General features: G+C 37.1%; 1 protein-coding gene across 4 annotated transcripts in view; it reads left to right on the top strand.

The window, feature by feature from the left end:
• PDE11A (phosphodiesterase 11A) overlaps window positions 1-27,104 on the top strand; it is a 485,096-nt gene that overhangs the window by 223,497 nt on the left and 234,495 nt on the right. For all 4 annotated transcript variants that reach the window (NM_001077197.2, NM_016953.4, NM_001077358.2 and 1 more), the window contains one exon: window positions 8,920-8,984. In NM_001077197.2, coding sequence (NP_001070665.1) covers window positions 8,920-8,984 — 65 coding nt within the window. The remainder of the gene's footprint in view (window positions 1-8,919; window positions 8,985-27,104) is intronic.

Here is a 27,104-nt window from a genome sequence, read left to right as displayed (position 1 = left end):
TAGCCCTTCCTTCTCACTCTTTCTACCACCTTCTTCACTGTGTCTTTACTGATCTCTCACTAGGACATTTTTCTCCTGACTCATTTCTTGCTTGCAAAGAGGGCACTCTTCTTTTCAATTACTGCTTCTTTTTAAACATGCACTGGCCTCTCCTATGATTCAAAACATTGGTAGTTGTCTATTGCTTGTATAATAATGCTCACACTACCCAACATTCAAGGCCCATCACTTCTGCTTCTAACTTAACTTGCGGTTCTCCTCTCTGGTCCTCAGCCTTGCTCTATCCTTTACTTCACCTCTACCCCACCTCCCCATGGTCAGCCTAAGCATGTACTAGCCTATTAACACAAAAGATGCATATCTTTGTGCAAATAGTCCCAGTGAAAGACAAAATGCACCAGACAATGAAGATCATTTCATCTGGCTATTGCAATAGGGAGAATGCTCATTAATGGTGAACATCTCAAAGAAAAAGATGGGGTTTCACAGAAACGTATAGACAAGGGAGTTACCTACATCATTCATGAGCCTTACAGGAGTCATGAGGAAGGATGGAGAAATGTCTTATTTTGAAATGTGCTAGGGCAGAGTGGTCTGTTGAGGATAGCCAATTCTGGAACAGTGATAGGGAGATTTCTTTATCATTACTATTTTGGGGGAGCACAGAGCTCAGGTAAAGTTCAACATTGTCAACTCTACTGGCTACTCTCTGGAACCTCTCCACTCCCCAACTACCTATGGTTGGTCTTTCTGTCTTTACCTCAGTGCCCTTGAGGGCTGATCTTTGCTTACCACACCACTTGGGCTTTCTTGTCCTCTGGCTGCCAGTTGGGTTTGACAAATAGAAGGTATGAGCAGAAGATTTAAGGGCCAGAGGAGTGAAAGACATTGGGTGTAGTTATTTTCCTCATTCCTTGTTTACCAGTTCTAGTGGTGGCTAGATCTTTCCATGGCTTCTCTTCACATGGATATCAAAATCACCTCCAGGATCTCAAAATCACCCTTCCCTTCTCCCCTCCCTCCCTCTTGTGTAACCTCAGACCTAGGAGTATTAACTGCTTTCCAAAGTTGCTAGTGCCTGGGTGCCTCACCATTCCTTATGGGCTTCTTTTCACCCTACCCACACTTCTATAGCTTGCCCCTTTATTGAATTATGTTCAGTTAAACTCTTTTGAGAGTTCTCTATTTTCTCCCAGAACGAACTGATTTGTTCCCTCAGCCTGGGAAACTTCCCCCACTTGTCAGCCTAGAGCGTTCCTGCTTGTCACACAGTTCACATGAAGACTTCCTTAACACCTTCCTCTGTGCACTGGTAGCATTTTGGACATACATTGTGGTGAAACATTTGTGAACTGTTTGCTTCTCTGTACTGTGTTGTGAGTTTCTCAAGGATAGGATATGGTTTGTGCCCCTTGGTGTTTATAGAGCCTATAGCAGTGCTTGGTGCACTAAGTATTTGATAAATGCTGACTGCATGAATAAATGATTAGAGTAAATTGGCATAAGTAAGAGATTTATTAAGAAGCATAGTAAGAGATGATTGTTTAATTCATTCTTTTTCTTTTTTTTTTTTTTGAGACAGAGTCTTGCTGTGTCACTTAGGCTGGAGTGCAGTGGTGCATCTCGGCTCACTGCAGCCTCCACTTCCCAGATTCAAACGATTCTCCTGCCTCAGCCTGCTGAGTAGCTGGGATTACAGGTGCATGCCACCATGCGTGGCTAATTTTTGTATTTTTAATAGAGACGGGGTTTCACCATGTTGGTCATGCTGGTCTCGAACTCCTGATCTCAGTTATCTACCCACCTTGACTTCCCAAAGTGCTGGCATTACAGGTGTGAGCCACCACACTTGGCCTATTTAATTCATTCTTTTGCCATTTTGAGTAGTCCTCTTATAGAAAAATAGAGATTCAGAAAATTAGAAAACAAAAATCATGATTACTTAGTAGATAATTTTTATTTTGGTGCCCGGAATATCTATTTGAGTATAGTTTTTATTTTTTTAACTTGTTTTTAAGTTAAAAGAACAGAGAGAAGCCAGACCAACTAGCACTTGATAAATATCCAAATCAAAAAGACTTCTGTCCATGGAGCTTTTCCAAAGAACAAGCAGGGAGATGTTTTGTTTACTTCACTTGGCAGGTACACTCCCTTCCCCAGGGTGCAATAATCAGGGCTGATCAGCAGCAAAGGAAGCTTGAAACCAGTTGTTTTGTGTCATTGATTTAGAAACCACTTCTGATATTTCCCTTATAAGATTCTCTTTTTTACTTAGTGTGTGTATATTAATTTATTTAATCCATGTTCATTTAGTAAATGTATAATAAAATCAAAGTTGGATTTAGATAGTAAACTTTTAAAATTAATAAAACTAAGAATTATATAATTGGTCCAAGTCAGGAATAAAGCATAAATTCTATTCTATTTTATTTATGCCTTCACCTATTTGGTATTGGTCATAATTTCTGCAATGTCATTCTATATATCCCGTTAAATTATATCCAAATATTTAAGCCGTTTTTGCTGTTTTATTTTTTAACCCAGGTATCTGACTATAAACAATTTTCTCTTTGAATGCATTATATTTTCAATTCTTTTTAAAAATATAAGTTGTCTGATGCTTTGAGGAGCAGCCAATGGCCTGCCTGCCTAGAATTTGCTATTCAAAGACACTTGTGAGCGTGAAAGTGGGCACTATTAATAATTGTCCCTGGACAACAGGCTTAATTGGAGTGGAACTGTCCCCTGCCAACTGGGGATATATCCTCGAGTATATCTCTTACCACTTACCCTGGTGCCTAAAATTTCTATCATTGCAATACTGTTTCAAATTAAAAGATTATGTCTCCAAGAATCCTCTTTCTGAATATAGCTATATTACATGGGAATATTAATACATTAACCTATCATTAGCCATTAACAATTTAGCAAAAATAACTGATCTGGCCTAGAAATGGCTCTACACCAGAGAAGTTGGCAAACTTTTAAAAATAAAGGTCTGTCTACTAAATATTTTAGGCTTTGTGGCCTGCACGATCTCAATTGCAACTATTCACTCTACTGTTATAGTAGAAAGCAGGCACAGACAATACTTAAATTAATAAGTATGGCTTTGTTACAATGAAACTTTATTAATAAAAACAGGTGGTAGGCCAGATATGGCCCATGGGCCATCCTTTGCCCACTCCTGCTTTTGAGGACTGAGAGGCTGGCAGATGAATTTACATCTCCAGAATTATGTTACTTCTCAACTGTTCATCTTGCTGCCTCATCACGGACTAATGCCACATGTATATTGCCTTGCCAAATAATCTGATGACTCAGGGTCAATTTGGCTGTGAATCTAACCTCAGAGGTCAACTCACCTTGCACTTTAAATTTTTCTTCTTTAAAATGTTGCAGTAGTTGTGGTTCTCCTGAGAAACAGAACCAATAGGAGACTAGATAGATAGATGGATAGATAGATAGATAGATAGATAGATAGATAGATAGATAGATAGACAGATAGATGATAGATAGATAGAGATAAAGATATTTATTCTAGGAATTGGCTCACATAATTATGGAAGCTAAGAAGTCCCACAGTTTACTGTCTGCAAGCTAGAGAACCAGGAAAGCTGGTGATGTAATTCAGTCTGAGTTCAAAGACCAGAGAATCAGGAGTCCCAGTGTCTGAGGACAGGGGAAAAATGGATGTCCTAGCTCAAACAAAGAGACCACATTTGCCCTTCCTCTTCCTTTCTATCTGAGCCCTCAGTGGATTGGACAATGCCCACCCACATTGCTCAGGACAATCTTCTTTACTCAATTTATTGATTCGAATGCTAATCTCTTCCAGAAACACTTCACAGACCACCCAAAAATAATGTTTTGCCAGCTATCTGGGCACCCCTTAGCCCAGTCAAGTTGACACATACCAATTAACCATCACAAATGTTAAGTCTTAAAAGGTTAGAGACCTTATTTATTATTTCTTTGGTATCTCCCTGTGCTATCCAGTACTTTATACACACTGGATAATCAATATTTAACCAAAGATCAGTAAACATCAGTATCTTCATTTTTCTTCTAAAGACACTAATGAAGATTAGTATCTTCATTTTTCTTCTAAAGACACAGGAACCTAAGAATTATGATATAAGTGTAAAGTTAGGGAACATAGTCTACAATACTTTCCTCATTCCTGACACCATTTATGAGTTTTGGAGTTCCCAAGACCATGCTAAGTTTCAGTAATTTGCTAGAAGGGCTCAAAGAACTCATTGAAAGCTGTTACACTCACAGTTACAGTTTACTACAGGAAATCATACAGATTAACATTAGCATGGGGCAGAGTCTAGGAAAATTCCACATGTGGACTCTGCTCATGGAGTCATGGATAGTGTCAATGTCTCCTGGCTATCATGTGTGACAAGATGCATGAAATTTTGCCAACCGGGGCCTGAGCCTTAGTGTCTAGAGTCTTTATTGGGGCTTGATCACAAAAATAGGGTTGACCTGCCCATGCGGCTGACCTCTGACTCCTTTCCTCCAGTGGTCAACTGATACCATGTGTCCCAAAGCTCCCACCCAAATCATATTGTTGGTGTGGCTTGAAGCCCCCATTCTAAATCACACTGTTACTCTTTGCACATTAATCAGGCATTACAAGGGTTTAGAGATTATCTCTCAGGAGCCAAGGACAAAGGCCAGACCTCTCTTTAGGGAAGGTTCAGTTCTTTCCTACATACAAGGTCAATCGTGGTTCATGAATACAGTGTCTGACTTTGATCATGGCACCATAAGCCATTTTACTGGAGGACACAGCTAATGCATTCTATGGAATGCTGAAGTTGAATGATACATAGTCCTTGACTTTCCCCTTATACATTAAAAATGAATTTAGAAAACAAAACAAATAAAAGTTTTGTCCCTATTTTTCTTTTCAGCTTGTAATTTATGTTGGAGTAAGATGTTCTAACATTTTAGAAAAAAGTGTTTTTTCCTTTTAGTAGTTTCTCCAACTTCTTTTACAAGAGTTCAAACATCCTGTCATTTCATTAAGAGATGTATATATCTTATCCATTCTCTGTAGATCTACAGGTTCTATGGCTTTGAAACGCTATTATTTCCTATTCCATTTCTTATATCCCTCAGTTGCTATTCCTCAGATGGAAAAAATATTTTTAAAAGATCTTTATTTTCTTTCATTCTCTGGACATTTCTCACATTTGTTTTCTTAAGATGTGAAACCAGAAGTGCACTTATTTTTTCCAGGGAGCACTAGTTTTGAGGAGCCAGGGCAAATTAAGCTCCCTACCATAAAGCAAGCTCCATAACTGCAGAGATTTTATTTTCTTTTACTTTCACATTTGTAATTCCATTGTACACTACACTGCCTGACACATAAGACGGTACGTATTTGTTGTATTGAAAGATAATTTTCAAAAAGTTAAAAACTTAACTCTTGCAGAAATCTAAAGCAAGCATGTATCAAAGATTTGTTTAACTCATCAAAAAGAGAAACCGCAGAGTGGCAAAGTTGGTTCTAAAATAGGCACTGAAAGAATGCCAGCATAAGATTGCTAGATTAGCTTTTTAAAATGGTTACTACCAGTCAGGATAATACAATTGTAACCATTGAGCTTTTCTTTTCTCCTGCACAGAAATCATTTGCATCTTTACTTGGATAAAATTTATTTGTATTGCTATCAGATTTGCAGAAATTAACATCTACTCTTACCACGCTGTAAATTATTCTAATCAATAGTAAGAAGTAGGCCAAATGAAGCATTCTTATTAATATTGGAGAATTTAATCTCATTTATCAGATCAGGAATTAAAAAAATGTCCTGCTCAATTTTGAAATGCAGAAACAATTAACAGTTTATTGATAATATGATTAATCTTATACCAAGCCAAGTGTTTTACTTCAAGTTACTTTTTAGTCTGTGTTTACTCAAATTTGGGCATATAGGAGGTACTCAATAAATATTTGTAGAATTAGTAAATAAAGTAGAGTTTATTCTGGTTTTGAAGGAGTCATGTCCAAATAATTTGCTGCTGCAATAACACTTGCTCTTGCTTATTAAAGCAGTGAGAAGTGGGATCACTGGAGCTGTGGAATCAGAACAACATGGTTCAAATCTCGGTTCTGCAATTTCCTGCTTGCATGGCTTCCAGCAAACCACTTAACCCCCTAAGCCTTAATTTGCTGTCAATAAAATGAGGATAAAATCTACCTTCTGGGATGTTGTAAGCATTGATACATGCATAAAGGATTGTTTATAATGTGTGAAAAATCCCTCATTTGCAGGAAAATGTCCTCTCTATGTGGTTTGGCTCCCTTTCAGCATAGTGGCCTGAGGGTAGTTGCACTTCTTGCATGGTGACCGAGGGCTCCAAGCACACATATTTCATCAGGCAAGGCAGAAGCTGTGTTGCATTTTACAACAACCTTGGAAGGCATGTAGCATGTCTTCCATATGCTCTATTTGTTGAAGCTTTCAGAAGCCCACCGGATTTAAGGAGAGAGGACGTAGATCCTACCACTTGGTAGGAAAGTGGCAGGGTTACATGGAAGAGAAGAATATGGGATAGAAGATATTGTTGTGACCATCTTTGGAAAATAAAATTTGCCACAATGAGTGATTCTGTAGAGGCTTAATTCATATTACAATATGAAATGAAATATGTTCTATAGTTGTCAAGGGTATTTCCTTGCAGTTGAGCTATTGTCATTGCCCTACATTCATCTGGTCACACAGAATTTTCTTTGTGATGAGCCCTTCTTTTCTATTTTTTCCCTAATGTTGCATTTGCCTAGCTTGAGTTCATTACCTCACTGATAAAGCTTTTTTAAATATTTAATCTATTCCTATTTTCCAAATCATTTTCTCAGGTGCTCATCAATTCCTTGTAAGTGGTTAATTTAAAAGGCCTTTGAAGCATGACTGCGTACGGCTAAGGAAAATCTAAATGTCAACCTTGGAAGCATTCTATGACATTCAGATGGACTCCTTTCACTATAGGGGCTTGTTTTTCTATCATGTGGTATATCTTGTCAAAAGAGGGTATTGGGGCTCAGAAAAGGAGACTTCAAAGCATGGTGCCTTGGCATACTGAGCACGTTGATCTAAAGGAAATTAAAAGGCCTTGGAACTGAGTCCCCTCAGAGCCAAGAACTTTCTAACCTTTTCTTGTTCCTCCTCACAAGTACAAGATGGAACTCTCTTCCATCCCCTCCCTGAAATTTTATTAACCAGAGAATATTATTCGCATATCACAGAAAGGAAGACTGAGGAATGTCCCCATGCCCAGACAGACTTTCCATCTGTTCTTCTGAGGGCACTCTGAGAGATTACCCGGGAGACTTTATCTGCATAATAAGATAACCTTTGGCCAGATGCGGTGGCTCGTGCCTGTAATCTCAGCACTTTGGGAAGCCAAGGCTTGTGCCTCATCTGGGGTGAGGAATTCAAGACTACCCTGGTCAACATGGTGAAACCCTGTCTCTACTAAAAATGCAAAAATTAGCTGGGCATGATGACACGCCCCTGTAATCCCAGCGACTTGGGAGGCTGAGGTGGGAGAATTACTTGAACCCGGGAGGCGGAGGCTGCAATGAGCCGAGATTGGGCCACTGCACTCCAGCCTGTGCGACAGAGTGAGAACCTGTCCAAAAAAAAAAAAAGATAACCTTTGTTTGCAGTGAAGTTCCACCCCTAACTTGCTGCCACCTCCTCCAGAGCTCAGAGAAACTTTGTCCCTGGTCATTGTCTGTTCTTTGGGCTCATTTAATTCCTCTGAAATTTTTTTCTACCCCTCAAAATTGCCTACATCCCCCGTCCGTCTCCCCTATAAAGAGGATGCTATTTAAGCTTCAACCATCTGGCCCTCCTTTGAGTCTCATACTTTATATGGCTTCTGTGCTTCTGCACATTAGTAAATTTGTATGCTTGTTCTCCTGTTAATCTGTCTATTGTCAGTTTATTTCAGCAAACCTTCAGAGGGTAGAAGGAAAGGTTTCCGTCCACCCCTACAAGGGCCAGAAATAGTGCATTTCTCACTCAACATTTGTAGTGTTGAAAGAGCTAGCACTCTAGCATCAGAGAGAATTCCTTTCATGCCAGTTGCCTTATTTAATTGTGTGAAACTGAGTAAGTCTTTTTAAAAATTAGGGGTTAGTTTCCTCATCTATAGACTGAGTATAAAATTCTCTACTTTAGATTTATAATAAAGAAATAATCAAAAAAGCTTCTGCTGTAGGGCCTGGTTTACAGTGTAAACTCAATATTAGCTAATAATAAGAAAAACTACATTGACATTTTCTGTTCCATAAATTCCCCCTCAACATAAGCCTTGGTCAACTCTCGCACTGGTATGCTACTTTCACTGGAGAGGTGAGAGAGGAAGTGTCCACACAAGAATGATTGTTGAATAAGGTGGCTTCCTCTTTACCCTTTAGGTGGTGGTACCACGAAGCTCACCTGAGAACAATGATGAGCCAAGCTTAAAGATGAACTAACTTCAGGAGCCTGGGGTTGACAGAGGGCATCTTCTTTGAGGGGTGTTCTGTCCCTACCTGGGTCTCTTATTGCTGTTGATTGGGTTGTTAAAAGAACAGTTTTCTTTTTAAGTATTCAAATGAGATTTTCCTTTACCTGACCTCCATAGCTCATTGTACACCTAATTGTAAAAATATGTACATGTTTAGTGAAATGTATTAAAACTTTGACAATGTATGCTTTGTAAGAAATAAGATACAAGATGTAGGATGGGATTCTCCTCTTCTACTCTGTCTTGGGATTTCTCCACTTAAAAATCTCTCTATAATCTCCAAGTATTATAATCATTATAAAGATGAAAATGTTTATTACATTATTTTAAACGGCAATAAAGCTTTAATTGACCTGGATTTATTATCTTTCTATGCGACAGGTGGTGAAATTTACCAAATCCTTTGAATTGATGTCCCCAAAGTGCAGTGCTGATGCTGAGAACAGGTAGGGCTTGTGGGGTTCATGGGTCTTTTGATGTTCTTTTGTCCTTGGTGTTAGCAGCATTGCATAATTCTTAGAAGATAGTAGTAGTTCTTTATATTAGCAAGCACAACCAAATATCGTGACTCTTCTGTATTTCAGGGCTTAAATTAAAACTATATCTTAAAAATAAATGCATATACGGCCAGGCGCGGTGGCTCAGCCTGTAATCCCAGCACTTTGGGAGGCTGAGGCGGGCGAATCATGAGATCAGGAGATCGAGACCATCCTGGCTAACATGGTGAAATGCCGTCTCTACTACAAAATACAAAAAAAAATTAGCCGGGCATGGTGGCGGGTGCCTGTGGTCCCAGCTACTTGGGAGGCTGAGGCAGGAGAATGGAGTGAACCTGGGAGGTGGAGCTTGCAGTGAGCCGAGATTGTGCCACTGCACTCCAGCCTGGGTGACAGAGCGAGACTCTGCCTCAAAAAAATAAAATAAAAATAAATAAATAAATAAATAAATGCATATACATCTAGCTTGCAATCAGTTTTTAGGGCCAACTTTTAGTACTTGTAATAGGATTAAAATGTTGCCTTTAGCTTCCTCTTTTCCCTGAACCTTGTAAATTTTTGTTTGTTTGTTTGTCTTGTTTTTTAACGTGGAGTCTCGCTCTGTCACCCAGGCTAGAGTGAAGCACTGCAATCTTGGCTCACTGCAGCCTCTGCCTCCCAGGTTCAAACGATTCTCCTGCCTCAGCCACCTGAGTAGCTGGGATTACCAGGGCATGCCACCACACCTGGCTAATTTTTGTATTTTTAGTAGAGACTGGGTTTCACCATGTTGGCCAGGCTGGTTTCGAACTCCTGACCTCAAGTGATCTGCCCGTCTTGGCCTCCCAAAGTGCTAGCATTACAGGTGCGAACCACTGTGCCCGGCCACCTTGTAATGTTTTGAAATAAATCTTAAGATACTCTGCTGACTCCTGAACTTTGAATCCAAGTTATTTAGGTAAGTTAATATGGAATAGTACTGGAGCAAACCTGTTTTCATTAAGCCAACAGTTTCAGTTTCTTTTCACATCACATATTTGACTAAATCTTCCAATAAAAAAAGTAAAATTTTAGATGTATCTTAGCTGTACAGACAGCCTAATTTTTTACTTTATTTTTGCTCTTTGTTTCTCTTCCTCCCTCTTGTTTGTCCATAATTGGCCAATAACATCCGCTTGGAAAAAAGACTGAGAGAGTTTCCAGTAATTCACTTCTTGTTCTCATTGGCATCTTTGAGGCTATAACAGGGTAGAAGTGAAGATTGCAAGCAATCAGTGAATTTCTCTTAGCTTTTTACTGCCTTGAATAATAGCTGTGTTGCTACAAAAATTCTCTTTGGTTGCCTCTAGAGGAAGGGTTAAAAAATAGTGAAATTAACCAAAATGCAGACATGGAGAAAGAATCGTAAAGCACTCAGGGCAGTATGATGATGATGACAATGATGAAGATATTGATACTAAAATATGAGCAACCTCCATTATTTGACTGTTATGTGTTCCATGTAGTATGCTAAATGATTTATAAGCATTTAATCCCCCAAACAATCTTTTGAAGTAGGCATTCCCCCCATGTTATAAAGGAGAAAGCCAAGGTTCATCAAGTTTAAGTAACTTGTTTGAGGCCCTGCAACCAGCAAGTGGTAGCCACCAAGGACAAGGTCACTTAGATAAGACTCTCCCAACCTCTGAACTTTGATTCCATAACCACACGTCATTTAAAATCTGCTTGTTGATCTCATCTAGTGAATACCTGTCAGGTTAATGTTTCCCAAATCTAATGGGTCAATCAGAATCAGGCTTAGAAAGTTTAGTAGAAACTAAATTCTCAGAACATACACTGAGAGATTCTGATTCAGTACTGCAGAAGTGAAGTCCTAAAGGTCTATATGTTCTAAAGGCCCTCTGGGTAATTACCTATTTCAAGATGTAATACTCAAGAGTAATTTGATTTTTATATCCATTATTGCCTTTAAATTCAGGAAATAGAAACCAGTAAGTAAAAATAAAAAGTAAATTATTTTTTATCAAATGCATGAAGTTTAAAAGGGGCCTTTGCTACATACTATATAACTTCATTTACAGGACATTCTTAAAACATCAAAATTATAGGAAGAGAAAGTAAATCAGTTCATTTCCAGGGACAGGAGATGGAGAGAGGGGTTGACTTCAAAGGGGTAGAGGGTTGTGATGGAACCACGCTGTGTCTTGCTTGCAGTGGTGATTATACAACTGTATTTGTCAAAACTTGGAGAAATTTACCTAAAAAAGGGTGAATTTTACTGACTGTTAATAATACCTTAAAATGGAAATTGAAATGGGAAAAAGAGGTCTTTGGTAAGAGGTTTTATATTCATAAAAATGTATTTATATTCACATCTATATTTAATGCCAGCTAATCTATACCTAACCAAGATATTTAGCATAGAAAGTTACTAGTAGTATACTCAGCAATTTTCCTAAATAGAATGTTATAAAACAACATGAAATACGATAGAAAAATCTCTATTCATGCTGATATCTTTAGCTATTCATGACCTCATATAAGTTATATCTCTCATATATGAGAGGGGAAGCTTTATGTAGTTATTAAAACACAACTTTTGAAGTCCTAATGCTTCAATATTGTTATTTTTTATACTGCTGAACATGTTCTCATGGTCACTTCAGAGTTAAATACTTCTGTTTTTTTATTATTTTTAATCCTGAGAGAACTTCCATGTCAAAATGAAATGACCCAAGACCTAGACTGCTCTTGGCAAACTTTCTGATAATAAAAGACAGAAAGAAAGGTCAGGTTTTCTTTAAAGAGACATTTGAAAAGTGCCTTTGAACTTTGACATTATGAGATAGTCCTATTCATCATTCTATTTATGGCTTTTAAATTAATGTAGAATGTTCATTTATCTCAGAAGACCTTTCCATCATTGTCCAGTAATTCTCCTCGTGTAGATCTGAGTTCCTTCAGTCATTTATTGGAAGTTAAAGGAACCAAGACAAGTGACTCCAGAATTTACTTCACCAGTGACATGGAAGGGACATTGAAATGGGCTATGAGTCTAAAAATCACAGCTTGATCTCACAGTCTGATCTTTCCTTTAACCTTTCATCATTTAACATCATCACTATAGATGATGTCTATTAGATACTTTAGTCCTCTGAACATCAGTCAGAGTTATAATAGTGTAGTTTTTAGAAGACAATTTCTATGGCTCCTTGTAACAATGTTTCAGGGTATTATTTCAATTCTGATGAACTCTGGTTTGAGGCTTGCTGATTTTTATAGATAGTCCTTGAAGCCATTTTTAAATAATAACCAGTTTTGCTGACTCATCACTTCTGCTTAGTGTCTTTCACTGCTTTGTCATAGCTAGTCTCCTGTTGGTCTCCATGCAATGAGTACCAATCAATTCAAGAGCTGGAAATGATTCAATCCATCTCCCTCCATGAAGTGTGCTCCTCTTCCAGGGTATCACTGGCAACACCTCTAGTGACAGGATTCTCACTATGTCATGATAGACTTCTTGCATTTATAAGGGATTCTAGTAGTTAGAAAGGCATTTTATGTTGAATTATATTCCTATAACTTCTATCTGTTTATTCTAAATTTGTTGTTTGGAGGCAGTTATTCCTTCCTTCAACAGTCATATATTGAGTACCTACTCTGTGCTGAGTTCTCTGCTAGGTGATAGGGCTACAGAGATTTTTTAAAAATTAAAAGCAGTCTCTGTCCTCAAGGATCTCAAGGGCAATGAACAGTGGTGGGAGTGGGTTAAAAATATAATACAAACATAACCAGATTTCACCAGGCCTCCAGACTATGGCTTTAAATAAATAGAGTCACATTAATAGTTATAATTTATATATTTGGCTGCTTAAGCATTTCTCCTATGTAGTGTAACATAAGAACCCTAGTCCCTTGTAAAAGCCATCCTTGAAGTATTCCTGGAGTTTCTAAGATTTCTTTTTTTAGAGACAGGGTCTCACTCTGTTGCCCAGGCAAGAGTGCAGTGGTGCAATCATAGTTCACTGTAATCCTTGAACTCCTGGGCTTAAGCAATCCTCCCATCTCAACCTCCCAATTAGCTAGGACTGCAAGTGCATGCCACCACACCTGGCTAATTTTAAAATTATTTTGTAGAGACAGGAGTCTCACTGTGTTGCCCAGGCTGGTCTCAAATTCCTGGCCTCAAGGGATCCTCCTGCTTTGGCCTCCCAAAAGTGCTGGCGTGAACCACCATGCCAAGCCTAAGATTTAAAATAATAATAATAATAATAATAATAATAATAATAATAATAATAATAATTTACTACTGACTCATCATTTCTTCCAAGTGACCACCCATAAATCCTCTCCCTCTGGCCATGACAGAGCAGCGTTCTATGATGTGGGCTTCCTTGCCCACTCCGGAATTCCCACGGGCATAACTGCACTCCTCACCAGTGCTGTGCCACAGCTCCCCAGCACTACCTTAGGTGCACTGGTGACCTTCACGAACCTGGGACAGGCTGGGTCATTTGTGCAGAAATGGGAAGAAGGCTCACTTTCTCCCCCAGGTGTCATAGTCTGTTGCCTAGCCCCTAAACAACCCCGAGTGTACCCCATTTTTTACAGACCTTTTAATTCCTAAACCTTTGTTAGATGTTAACCCACAGAGATCCAAGTGCATATAGGGAAAGGGATGCACAAAAGAAAAGGTGGAGGACAGAGTGTTAAGTAGCCTGAATGTTAAACCTTTTATGTGGACATTTTTCCTTTTTTAAACACCGTATTTTCTCCGAGTTCCCTGGTCATGAGTATTGATGGCTCCTGTCCTTTAGTGAACCAGTACACTCAAGGCAGGATGAGATAATCTGGTATATTTTAGAACAATAAGGAATTAGAACTAAAAGAGGTTCTATTTCCAGAATGAATACTTTTTCACTAACTGGGAGAATACAGGTATTTGCTTCATGAGCATATGGGAAGAAAAGGAGCCAGCTCTTAAGCTCAGTTAAAAACAACAGAAACAACATGACACTATTTTTGAGTTTTACTATGTGCTAAGTACTGCACATGAATTATCCCGTTTTTTTCCTATATTACAGATAAGAATTAAGAAATATGTCCAGGGTAACACAGTAAGTTACAGAGGCAATATTTGAAACCCAGTTAGCCTGGCCCTGGCACTAATCTTCTCAGCCATTACGTTTATTACTTGCAAGTAGATTACCAGGAAAATTCAGTAGAATTGCTGAAAGAGCACAATGCCTGGCACATAGTAGTTGCTCAATGATTTTAAGGCACTTTTTCTCACACTTAACATGTTGAAAGTCAGAATGGTATCTTACTACCAGTGATGTCTTAGTGACAGTTGGTGACACAGCTATTGCCTGTGCATGTACAAACTTGGTCAGAGCTGTTTGTGTTATCTGTTCAATTGTGTATTGTACGTTGTTGGTACTACATAGATTGGACTTAAATGCTGGTTAATATGTGTGTCCAATGAGATTACAGTGTGGTCTGGCATTGAAATGAAAAGTTATTGTTTTGCAGAAAAACGTAGAAATAAGAAGTGGAGTGTAAATTTGATATTAGTGATGAAAATATTTGTTTTTGGAAAACTGGTCCCATTTCTGTATGTTCTTTCAAAGCAACAATGAAGGAAGAAACTCTCAAGAAGATGAAGTGGTGCTATATTTGGTTACTGAAATACATCTACACGGGTCACCTAACACATGTCAAGTTATGCAACTGAAGGCAGGAGAAATTGCCAAAGCTCTTATAATAAGTGAAATAAATTTCAAAACAAGAGGCTGATATAACTAAACTCGTGCATGATGCAGGACTGTTATTAAGGTGTGGAACATCAATTTGTCAAAAATTTTCAACTGATTGGAAACTGCTTAACATCCAGTGACATGTAATTCATTTAGGAAAAACTAGGAATTTAGTCAAATAGGAAATGCTGAGAAAACCTGTGTCCTTTGACATACCTGCCAATGCCAAGAGTGCTAAAACAATTAACACTGAGAACATAGATGACAAAATGTACAGCATTTCAATGTGATGTCATGCATGGTGTCAGGTGGTCAAAACTTGTCACCATATTTCATTTTGAACAATATCAAACTAAGTGTGGGAGGCAGAATGTTGACCCCCAAGATCCTCACCACTTGTCATATATTCACGTTACATTACAAGCCAAAGAGATTACAGAGATAATTAAGATAACTAATCAATTGATGTTAAAATAGGGAGATTATTCTGGATTGTCTAGGTGAGTCTGATGTAATCATGTGAACCCTTAAAACAGAGCCTTCTCCCAGTTGAGGACACAAAAGGAAGCTGAAAAGGCTCAACAGAAGGGAAAAGTCGGAGACATGTTATGCACGAGCAGGATTCAACAAATGTTGCTGGTTTAAATATAGACAGGGCCAAATGTCAAGGAAACCTGGACCTCAGTCATACAACTGCAAGGAGTTGAATTCTGCCAACAACCTGAATGAGCTCCATTCTTCCCCAGAGCCTTCAGAGAGGAATATAGCTCTGTCAATTCCTTGATTTTGGTCTTATAAGAGCCTGAGCAGCAAATCCAGCACGTCATGATGAACTTGTGACTTCCAGCCCTCTGAGATAATAAATAGGTGTTGTTTTAAGCTGCTATATGTATAGTAATTTGTTATGCAGAAATGGGAAATGAATGCAATTTTAGTGTGTGAGTTTGAACCCATTCTCAGATGAAAATGAGATTGAACTCAATGCTGTTATCTTTTGTGTGTGCACTCATGCATGCATGCACATACACACACATAGAGATGAATGACAGGTGAGCTGATGAATGAGTGGTGTACAGCCATGTGGAAAGATGGCCAGGAGTCTTACTTAACCTTCAAAGTGATGTTAGCTGTTGGTGCATTTTTAGACATGTATCTGCACAGTGAAAAAATTTCTAGTGGCAAGACTGGACATTAGCAACCCTTAAAATTGCAGCCAACAAACCAAGGAAAGATCACTTTAGGAAGGAATATGAGTTTGGTTTTATCTAAAAACCCTCCAATGGTATCTTCTACTAAGTTCAATAAGTGACGGCCTCAAAACTTACAAGAGAGTGTCAGCAGCTTGGAAGAAATTTCTGGAGATGATAGCAGAGCACTTTTAAAGATACATGCTGCATCATTAATATCCTGATGGCTTAGAGGATAAGATCTGTGAACACTGACGACTCTGAATTGAGAATTGATTCAGAAGAGTGACATTCTTTATTTTCCCTTGTGTATAATCAACTTGTATAGTTTTACATTTTCCTTCAAGAATGGTATATGATAGAATTTATATTGAATCTGAAATATCTTTTAAAATAAGATTAAAATATTTTAAGTGATAATGCATTGCCTCATAGCATTTTTTTCTTTTAGTGGGCTGACAACAACAGTCCATCTTACAATCGATGCTCTCATAGATTCAATGACATAATATGACCCTAGAGCCGCTTTGTTTTTCCTGTGGCTTTTCCATCCCTTAGCTCATCTATGATTTCCCCCAGAGAGTACATATACCTCAACTTTGAGAAGCACCTACGAGAGTTTAGAGTTTCTTTAAATTTTAAGATGAGACAGCCCTGTGACTTTTCTCAACATTAGTTTTGTGCATTGCATTTTTTAGGTTAGAAGAGTGAATCTTCTGTTTCAATGCCTTATTGACTTTTATTTTCTTTTCCTTTACACATCTGTGTGGAATCTAGTTTTGCAAAACAGATTACCCCTTCTAGCAATGGTTTGCAACCATTCCTGACTTCTCTGTGACTCTTCCTTTAGATTTCCAGCCACCATGGCCCAAATCCTATCATTCTTTTAAGGAGAATTGACTCCCATGAGACGTAGCTCTAGTGAGGCAAACCACTGGATGAGCTCTATAGTTAGTCCAAGGAGCTCTTAGCAAGACTCGAGAGATGTCTGGGTTACCACCCTTTGTCTTTGTCCAGCAGCAATGATACAGTCAGGAATAAACTTGGAAGAGACTGTATTAGCCTGGAGAGACGAAGTATGATGAGTGAGGATTTTGTTTATTCCGGAGTGTACTATGATTGTACCCTGCAATCATATTGCAATTGTTTTTCTTTTTTTTGAGACGGAGTCTCGCTCTGTCACCCAGGCTGGAGTGCAGTGGGGTGATCTCGGCTCACTGCAACCTCTGCCTCCTGAGTTTAAGTGATTCTCCTGCCTCAGCCTGCCGAGTAGCTAGGACTACAGGCCCGCCACCACACCCAGCTAATTTTTGTATTTTTAGTAGAGATGGGGTTTCACCATTTTGGCCAGGATGGTCTCAATCTCTTGACCTCGTGATGCGCCCACCTTGGCCTCCCAAAGTGCTGGAATTACAGGCGTCAGCCACCTCACCCAGCCCATATTGCACATTTTATAACTCTGAGATGTACCTGGGTTACATGAGGTGATCTCCAGTACCTAATCAGATTATGAATATGATTCTGGGCCTGGAGGAGCACCTCTATGCACCAGAAGGTTTTATGTGACTCACTCCACTTGGACATTATCACTCAAAAGCATGCAACCCTGGTGAAGCTTTTGGGAATCAGAAATTCTGTTCCTACTTTAAAGAATGTTACTAAATGTCTTTATGTAAATTCTGACTGTGCCAACTTTATTGTGTGTCCCTTAGATCATGACTTTCAAATCTTTTCTAATGCAATCCGTGACAAAAATATCCAAACCTAGGTAGTGTATATAAATACACACACAAGTATACACACACACATCTAAGACAAATATTTTATGAAACTATACTTACCTTTACTATGCACCTATATTCTTATCTATTCTTTTAAGGAAAGAAAAACAAAACTAAAACATCTGCTGTCATGACCCACAAAACTGATTTCATGATTTACACTTTGCAGTGTCCCAAAGTGTGAAAAACACTGCTTTAGACTTACAGGCCTTGTCTGATTTGCCCATGCAGTGTTTGTGGCCTCAGTCAGTACCTATATTGGTTATTATTAAGTACCATGATTGTATGAAACTGGTATTTCCCAAGCATTTCAAGAACTACTTCACTCAAATACATATATTATCCTTCGAATTAGGCACCTTGGAGAGTAGTTTGTTTATGTAAGTCTTTTATACATCTGTTTAGTACAAGCGAATACAATATATCCCTGGAATCCCAGAGACACATGCAGACACATTCAGTCCTACTAAGGCCTTTCAGCTACATTCCTCAAGTCTTGTACTATATTCCTTCTTAGACATACATTCATGAGTCACTTCTGCTCTCCAAAGAACACATGCCAATATTAGATGAGCAAAAGGTTTTTCAGGAGAAACAAATGTGAAAGCTAAAGAGAGCAGGATCAGCAGTAGATGGGGAGAGCATTTGACCACAGTGCTCTGTGGAAGAAGAGAGACAAGTAAGGAGTGAATATAAAGAGTCTTTGGTCACAGTGTGGTTTGGAAAAAATCACTGCCTGGCCAATGGGAAGTCCCGAGCAGAATTTGCCAGTTGGAGAAATCATGCTTTCACGGGAGTGACCCAGTTCCTGCCCTCATCACGCTCAGTCATTGACGGGGAACAGCTCCAGGGGAGGCTTGGACCCAGAGGCGTGGAGATGGAGGTGTCAATCAGCTATACTTCCTGATGAGGTTCTCCTAAAGGGAGATGTGAATAGGGCATCTCCATGGCCACAGCACTTGGTAGGCTACTCAATAAGTATCACTTGATTTGTTCAACTATCCAAAACAATTTTTATTAATCTTACTTGGCAGCGTAATTATCATATTTATGCTAATTATTCTTATCTTTAAGTTTTTTTTTCTTGAGATGTAATTCATATACCACAAAATCAACATTTTAAGGTGTTCAATTCAGTGGTTTTTAATATATTCACAAGGTTGTTCAACCATACCATTGCTGTCTGCTTCCAGAACATTTTCATCACTCCAAAAAAGAAACTCTACCCATTAGCAGCCACTCCCCTCTCTTCCCTCCTCCAAGGCCCTAGCAACTGCTAATCTACTTTCTGCCTCAATGGATTTGTCTATTTTGGACATTTCTTATAAATGGAATTATATAATATGTGACCATTTGTGTTTGGTTTCTTTTACTTAACATAATGTTTTCACTATTCATTCATGTGTACATGCACTTTATTCCTTCATTCTTTTTTATGGATGAATAATATTCCATTGTTTGGATATATCATATGTTTCTTATTCATCAGTTGATGATGTTGTTTCTACTTTTTTGGCTATTAAGAATAATGCTGCTGAGAACATTCATGTACAAATTTTTGAGTACACATAGATTTTCGGTTCTTTTGGGTATAGGCCTAGAAGTGGATTTGCTAGGTCATGTGGTAACTCTGTGTCTAACTTTTGGACCAACTGTCAGACTGTTTTCTACAGTAGCTATACCATTTTACATTCGCACCAGCAAAGAATGAGGGTTCCATTTTGATGCTTATCAATCCTTATTTTTATTTCTTTCTTTTAGTTATAGCCATTTTAGTGGATGTGACACAGCATTTCATTGTGGTTTTTGTTTTTTTGGGGGATGCAGGGGATGGAGTCTCACTCTGTTGCCCAGGCTAGAGTACAGTGGCACAGTCTCGGCTCACGGCAACCTCTGTCTATTGGGTTCAAGTGGTTCTCCTGCCTCACCCTCCTGAGTAGCTGGAATTAAGGTGCCTGCCACCAAGCCTGGCTAATTTTTGTACTTTTAGTAGAGATTGGGTTTTGCCATGTTGGCCAGGCTGGTCTTGAACTCTTAACCTCAGGTGTTCCACCCACCTTGGCCTCCCAAAATGCTGAATTACAGGTGTGAGCTACTGTGCCTGGCCGATTTGTTTGTTTTTAATGACCATGCTTTTTGCAATTAGGGTGCTATTCAGGCTCAGAATTCTAAGCCTAAGCATTGTGTAGTAGCAAGAAGTGAATGACCACTGGAAAATGACCCGTATGATTACTTTTAAGTAGTAATGCAAAAGGGAACTCATTTTGTTTATGGCATCCCTCGTGTGTACAAAACAAGCATATAATAAAAGAACACTATAGGTTATCCCATCCATTAGTCACCCCAAAACATAGTTCATGTTACTTAAGATCATTTTGGATCTAAAAATTTATCCTTTGAAGAGTGCTATCTCATAATTGATTATCTCCCTTTATGCCATTTCTGAAGTACATGATGTGTCCATATCCTTGCTGGGCAATTTGTCTCTTTGTTTTTCACGTATTATGTAATTTTATTTTCTTTGAAACTCTGCCACAATTCACATCAAATACTTCTATATTTGGACCATCATTTTTCTCTCCTCTACCACTTTTTCTACTTGCTAAATTCTTTTTTAAATAAGTTTTATTATGTATATTTAAGGTATACAACATGTTATGGAATACATATAGATAGTAAAAATGTTACTTTAGTGAAGCAAATTAACATAGCCGTCATCTCACAGTTGCCCATTTCTTTGTTTTTGTTGCAAGAGCAGCTAAATTGTACTCCTTTAGCATGAATTCCACATACAATACAATTGTGTTACCTAGGGTCCTCATGTACATTATTTCTCTAGACTTGTTCATCCTACATATCTGCTACTTTGTATCCTCCGACCTACATCTCCCTATTTTCTTCCCACTGACTACTACCCCTAGTAACTACTGTTTTGTTCTCTCTGTATATTTGAATTTTTTTCAGATTCCACATATAAATGAGATTATGCAATATTTTTCTTTCTGTGTCTGTCCTGTAGCACCTAGTGTAATGTCCTCCAGGCTTATCCATGTCATGGCAAATGGCAACATCTGATTCTTTTTTAGGAATGAATAACATTCCATTATATATATGTACCACTTGATAATATTCAATATCTTTATCCCTTCATTAATCAATAGACACTTACTTGTTTCCATATGTTTGCTCTTGTGAATAATGCTGCAATGAATATGAGAAAGTAGATATCTTTATAAGGTGGTGATTTCATTTCTTGTAAGTATGTATCCAGAAGAGGGGTTGCTGGGTCATAGGGTAGTTGTATTTTTAACCCCTTTAGAAACCCCATACTATTTTCTATAATAGTTGTACCAATCTATATTCCCACCAACAGTGTAAAGAGTTCTCTTTTCTCCACAACCTCACCAACATTTGTCATCTTTTGACTTTTTGATAGTAGCCACCCTAATGGGTATGAGGTGTATCTCACAATGGATTTAATTTGCATTTCCCTGATGATTAATGATGTTGATAATGTTGAGCACCTTTTGATGTACCTGTTGGCCATTTTAATGTCTTCATTGGAGAAATGTCTATTCTGATTTTTTGCCCATTTTTGGATTGGGCTGTTTGTTTTTCCACTTTTGAGTTGTATGAGTTCTTTATAAATTTTGAATGGTTAACCCCTTGTCAGATATATAGTTTGCAAATATTTGTTCCCAATACATAGTTTGCTATTTCATTTTGTTGGTTGTTTCCTTTGGTGTACAGAAGCTTTTTCATTTGATGTAGTCCCATTTATTTACTTTTGCTTTTGTGGACTGAGCTTTTGGTGTGATATTCAAAAAATCATGACCAAGGCATTGTCCAGGACTTTTCTCCCTATGTTATCCTCTAGGAATTTTATAGTTTTTGGTCTTATATTTAGGTCTTTTTCATTTTGAGTTGATTTTTGTGTATGGTGTAAGATAATGGTCCAATATCCTTCTTTTGCATTTGGAAATCCAGTTTTCCCAGAACCATTAATTTAAGAGACCATTATTTTCCTGTTGTGTCCTGTTGGTGCTTTCATCATAAATTAGTTGACCATACATGGTTTGGATTTATTTCTGGGCTCTATATTCTGTTCCACTGGCTTGTGTGTCAGTTTTTATGTCAATATCTTACTGTTTTATTACTATAGCTTTGTAATATAATTTGAAATCAGGAAGTGTGATGCCTCCAATTTTGTTTGTCTTTCTCAGTATTGTTTTGGCTATTTGGGGTCTTTTATGGTTTTATACAAATATTAGGATGGTTTTTTCTGTTTCTGTAAGAATGCCAGTGGAATTTTGATAGGTATTGTACTGAATCTGGATATGCTTTAGGTAGTATGGACATTTTAACAATATTACTTCTTCCAATCCAGGAGCATAGGATATCTTTCCATTTATTTGTATTTTCTTCAGTTTCTTTCATCAGTGATTTATAGTTTTCAGTGTACAGATCTTTCACCTCCATGGTTAAAGTTATTTCTCAGTATCATTTTATGCTATAGTAAATGGGACTGTTTGCTGGATGTCTTCTTCAGTTAGGTCATTATTTGTATATAAAAATGCTACTGATTTTTGTATGTTGATTTTGTATCCTGCAATTTTACTCAATTCATATATTAGGTCTAACAGTTTTTTGGTGGAATCTTAGGAGATTCCAGAATTATGTCATCTGCAAATAGAGATAATTGTACTTCTTCATTGCAGTAAGTATACTTTACAGTTCCTTGGAGAGGCATCTCATTGTAGTTTTGATTTGCATTTTCCTAATGGCTAACAATGTTATGCATCTTTTCATGTGATTATTGGCCATTTGTATGTCTTATTTAGGAAACGTCTATTCAGGTCCTTTATCATTTTCAATTGTGTTAATGGTCTTTTTATTGCTGAGTCTTGGAGTTTTTGGTATACTTTGTATACAGGTCCCTTATCAGATTTATGATTTATGTATATTTGCCTTCATTCTGAGTTGTCTTCTCACTTTCTTGATGGTGTCTATTGAAGCACAAAAGTTTTAGATTTTGATATTCAATTTATAATTTTTTTGTTACTTGTGCTTTTGGTATTATATCTAAGAAGTGATTGTTTAATCTAAGCGCATGAATACATATGCCCATGTGTTCTTCTAAGAGCTGATTATTTTAGCTTTTGCATCTAGGCCCTTGATCCACTTTAAGTTAAATTTTTGTACATGGTGTGAGATAAGGGGTCCAATATCATTCATTTGTACAGGGACATCCAGTATTCCAGCACCATTTGTTGAAAAGACTATTCCTTCCCAATTTATTTGTCTTGCCACCCATGTGGAAAGTCAATTGACCATAGATATATAGGTTTATGAGACTCTCAACTCTACTCCATTAATCTGTATGTCTTCATGCCAGTATCACATTGTCTTGGTTACTGTATCTTTGAAGTAAGTTTTAAAATCTAAAAGTGTGAGTCCTTTGACTTTTTGTTTTTCATCTTGAAGATCATTTTGACTATTTTAGGTCTCTTGTATGTCCATATTAATTTTAGAATCAACTTGTCAATCTCTCCAAAATTAGTAGCTGAGTTTATTTTAGGGATTGCATTGACTCTGTCAATCAATTTGGAGAGTATTGCAATCTTAACAAGATTATATTCCAACTCCTGTATATAAGTTGTCTTTCCTTTATTTGTATCTTCTTTAATTTCTTTCAGCAATGTTTTGTAGTTTTAAGTGTAAAAGACTTACACTTATTTTGATACATTTATTCCTGTTTTTTTCTTTTTGATATTATTGTAAATGAAATTATTTTCTTAAATTTGATTTGTTCAATGTTAGTGTGTAGAAATACAGCTGAGTTTTGTATATTGATCTTATGTCCTGTAACCTTGTTGAACTTGTTTATTATAATAGTTTTTTCTGAATTCCTTAAAATTATCTGTATATGAGATTTTATCACCTGCAAATAGGGATAATTTTACTTTTTTCTTTACAGTCTGAATGCCTTTTTATTTCTTTCTCTTGCCTGATTGCATGTCTAGAACCTCCAGTACATTGTTAAATAGAAGTGGTTAAATAGCCAATATCCTTGTCTGATTCCTGGTGTTAAAAGTAAAACATTCAGTCTTTTACCATTACTGTGTTAGCTGTGCATTTTTTGTTAAGTGTCCTTTTATTAGTTTGAGGAAGTTCCCTTCTATTTCTAGTTTGTTGAATGTTTGTTAAGTGGCATGAAAGCATGTTGGATTTTGTCAAATGCTTTTTGCCTATTGAGATAATCATGTGATTTTTGTCTTTTATTCTATTAAAATAGTATATTATATATATTGATTTTTGGATGATAATCCAATCTTACATTATTGGGATAAATGCCATTCAGTCATGGTGTGCATACCTTTTTAAATATTGCTGGATTTAGTTTACTAGTATTTTTGAGAATTTTTGCATCTATATTTATAAGGGTCTATAGCTTTCTTGTGATATAATTGGTTTTGGTGTCAGGGCAATGCTACCCTCATAGAATGAGCTGGGAAGCAGTCTCCACTTTTTTTATTTTTAAGAGTTTGTTAAGGACTGACATTTTAAAAAAGAGTCTTCTTTAAACATTTGGTGAATTTCACCAGTGAAGCCATCTCTTCCTGAGCTTTTCTTTGTGGAAATATTTTTAATTATTAATTTAACCTCTCTAATTATTATAAGTTTATTCTAATTTTAAAATTCTCCTTGAGTTGTTTTGATACTTGCTTTATGACCTAACATATGGTCTATAATTGTTACCTAATTTTTTGGCATACCATTATTCATAATATTCCTTTATAATCTTATTTCTACAAAGTTAGTAGTTAAAGCCCCTCTTTCGTTTCTTATCTTAGTGATTTGAGACTTCTCTCTTTTTTTTTTTGGCAAAACTAGCTAAAGGATTACCAATTTTACCTTTTCAAAAAACAAATTTTTGTTTTGTTGATTTTCTCTATTGTTTTCTGTTCTCTAGTTTGTTTATTCTCCCTCTAGTCTTTATTATGTCCTTTCTGTTTGCTTTAGGTGTAGTTTGCTCTCCTTTTTCTAGTATCTTAAGGTGGAGGGTGAGGTTATTGATTTGAGACCTTATTCCTTATTTTTCCTTTTTAATGTAAGCATTTATAGCCATACATTTCTTTCTAAGTACTGATTTTGCTGCATCCAGTGTATTTTGGTATGTTTTATTTTGTTTTCATTCAAAGTATTTTCTAATTTCCCTTTGATTTCTTCTTTAACTCTTACTTTGTTAGAAGTATTGTTTTACTAACCAATATTTGTGAATTTCCCAAACTTTTTGGTTATTCTTTCTAATTCTATCACATTGTGTTTGGAGAATTTTTTTTTTTATCATATGAGCCCTCTTAAACTTATTGAGACTTGTTTTTTGACCTAAAGTATGGGCTATCCTAGGGAATGCTTCTTGTGCTCTTAAAATATATATATATTCTGCCATTAGGTGGAGTGCTCTATAGATGTCTGTTAGGTCTAGTTGTTTTATAGTGTTGTTCAAGTCTTCTACTTTCTTGTTAATCTTCTGTCTAGTTGCTCTATTATAGAAAGTGAGATGTTGAAGGCTCCACTATTATTATTGTTGAATTATCTATTTGTCCTTTCAGTTCTCTCAACCTTTGCTTCATATGTTTTAGGGATGTGTTATTAGGTGTATGCTTATTTATAATTGTTATTTTTCTTTTTTTAATATCAAATAATATTTTATTGTATAGATATATCACATTTTGTTATCCATTAACCAATTGATGGATATTTTGTTTTTTTCCCCTTTTTGGCTTTTATAAAAATGCTGCTATGAATATTTGTTGTACAAGGATTTTTTTAAAGTTTATTTATTTTATTTTATTTTTTTATTATACTTTTAGGGTACATGTGCACAACATGCAGGTTTGTTACATATGTATACATGTGCCATGTTGGTGTGCTGCACCCATTAACTCGTCATTTAGCATTAGGTATATCTCCTAATGCTATCCCTCCCCGATCCCCCCACCCCACGACAGGCCCTGGTGTGTGATGTTCCCCTTCCTGTGTCCAAGTGTTCTCATTGTTCAATTCCCACCTATGAGCGAGAACATGCGGTGTTTGGTTTTTTGTTCTTGAGATAGTTTGCTGAGAATGATGGTTTCCAGCTTCATCCATGTCCCTACAAAGGACATGAACTCATCCTTTTTTATGGCTGCATAGTATTCCATGGTGTATATGTGCCACATTTTCTTAATCCAGTCTATCATTGATGGACATTTGGGTTGGTTCCAAGTCTTTGCTATTGTGAATAGTGCTGCAGTAAACATATGTGTGCATGTGTCTTTATAGCAGCATGTTTTATAATCCTTTGGGTATATACCCAGTAATGGGATGGCTGGGTCAAATGGTATTTCTAGTTCTAGATCCCTGAGGAATCACCACACTGACTTCCGCAATGGTTGAACTAGTTTACACTCCCACTAACAGTGTAAAAGTGTTCCTATTTCTCCACATCCTTTCCAGCACCTGTTGTTTCCTGACTTTTTAATGATTGCCATTCTAACTGGTGTGAGATGGTATCTCATTGTGGTTTTGATTTGCATTTCTCTGATGGCCAGTGATGATGAGCATTTTTTCATGTGTCTGTTGGCTGCATAAATTTCTTCCTTTGAGAAGTGTCTGTTCATATCCTTCACCCACTTTTTGATGTGGTTTTTTTTTTTTCTTGTAAATTTGTTTGAGTTAATTGTAGATTCTGGATATTAGCCCCTTGTCAGATGAGTAGATTGCAAAAATTTTCTCCCATTCTGTAGGTTGCCTGTTCACTCTGATGGTAGTTTCTTTTGCTGTGCAGAAGCTCTTTAGTTTAATTAGATCCCATTTGTCAATTTTGGCTTCTGTTGCCATTGCTTTTGGTGTTTTAGACATGAAGTCCTTGCCCATGCCTATGTCCTGAATGGTATTGCCTAGGTTTTCTTCTAGGGTTTTTATGGTTTTAGGTCTAACATGTAAGTCTTTAATCCATCTTGAATTAATTTTTTATAAGGTGTAAGGAAGGGATCCAGTTTCAGCTTTCTACATATGTCTAGCCAGTTTTCCCAGCACCATTTATTAAATAGGGAATCCTTTAATTGTTATATTTTCTTATTGGTTTGACCCTTTGCCATTATAAAATATTGTTCTTTATCTCTAGTAACCGTTTTTTAAAAAAAACTGTTTTATCTGATATGAATAGCTACTTCAGCTCTCTTTTGCTACTGTTTGCATGGTATAATATATATACTTTTTCCATTTTTTTATTTTAACCCAGTCATGTCTTTGAATCTAAAGTATGTCCCTTGTAGACAGTGTAAAATTGGATCATGTTATTTTATCCATTCTACTGAT

Source organism: Homo sapiens, chromosome 2 (assembly GCF_000001405.40).
Source record: "Homo sapiens chromosome 2, GRCh38.p14 Primary Assembly".
NCBI lineage: Eukaryota > Metazoa > Chordata > Mammalia > Primates > Hominidae > Homo > Homo sapiens.
This window is presented reverse-complemented; position numbering and strand designations above follow the sequence as displayed.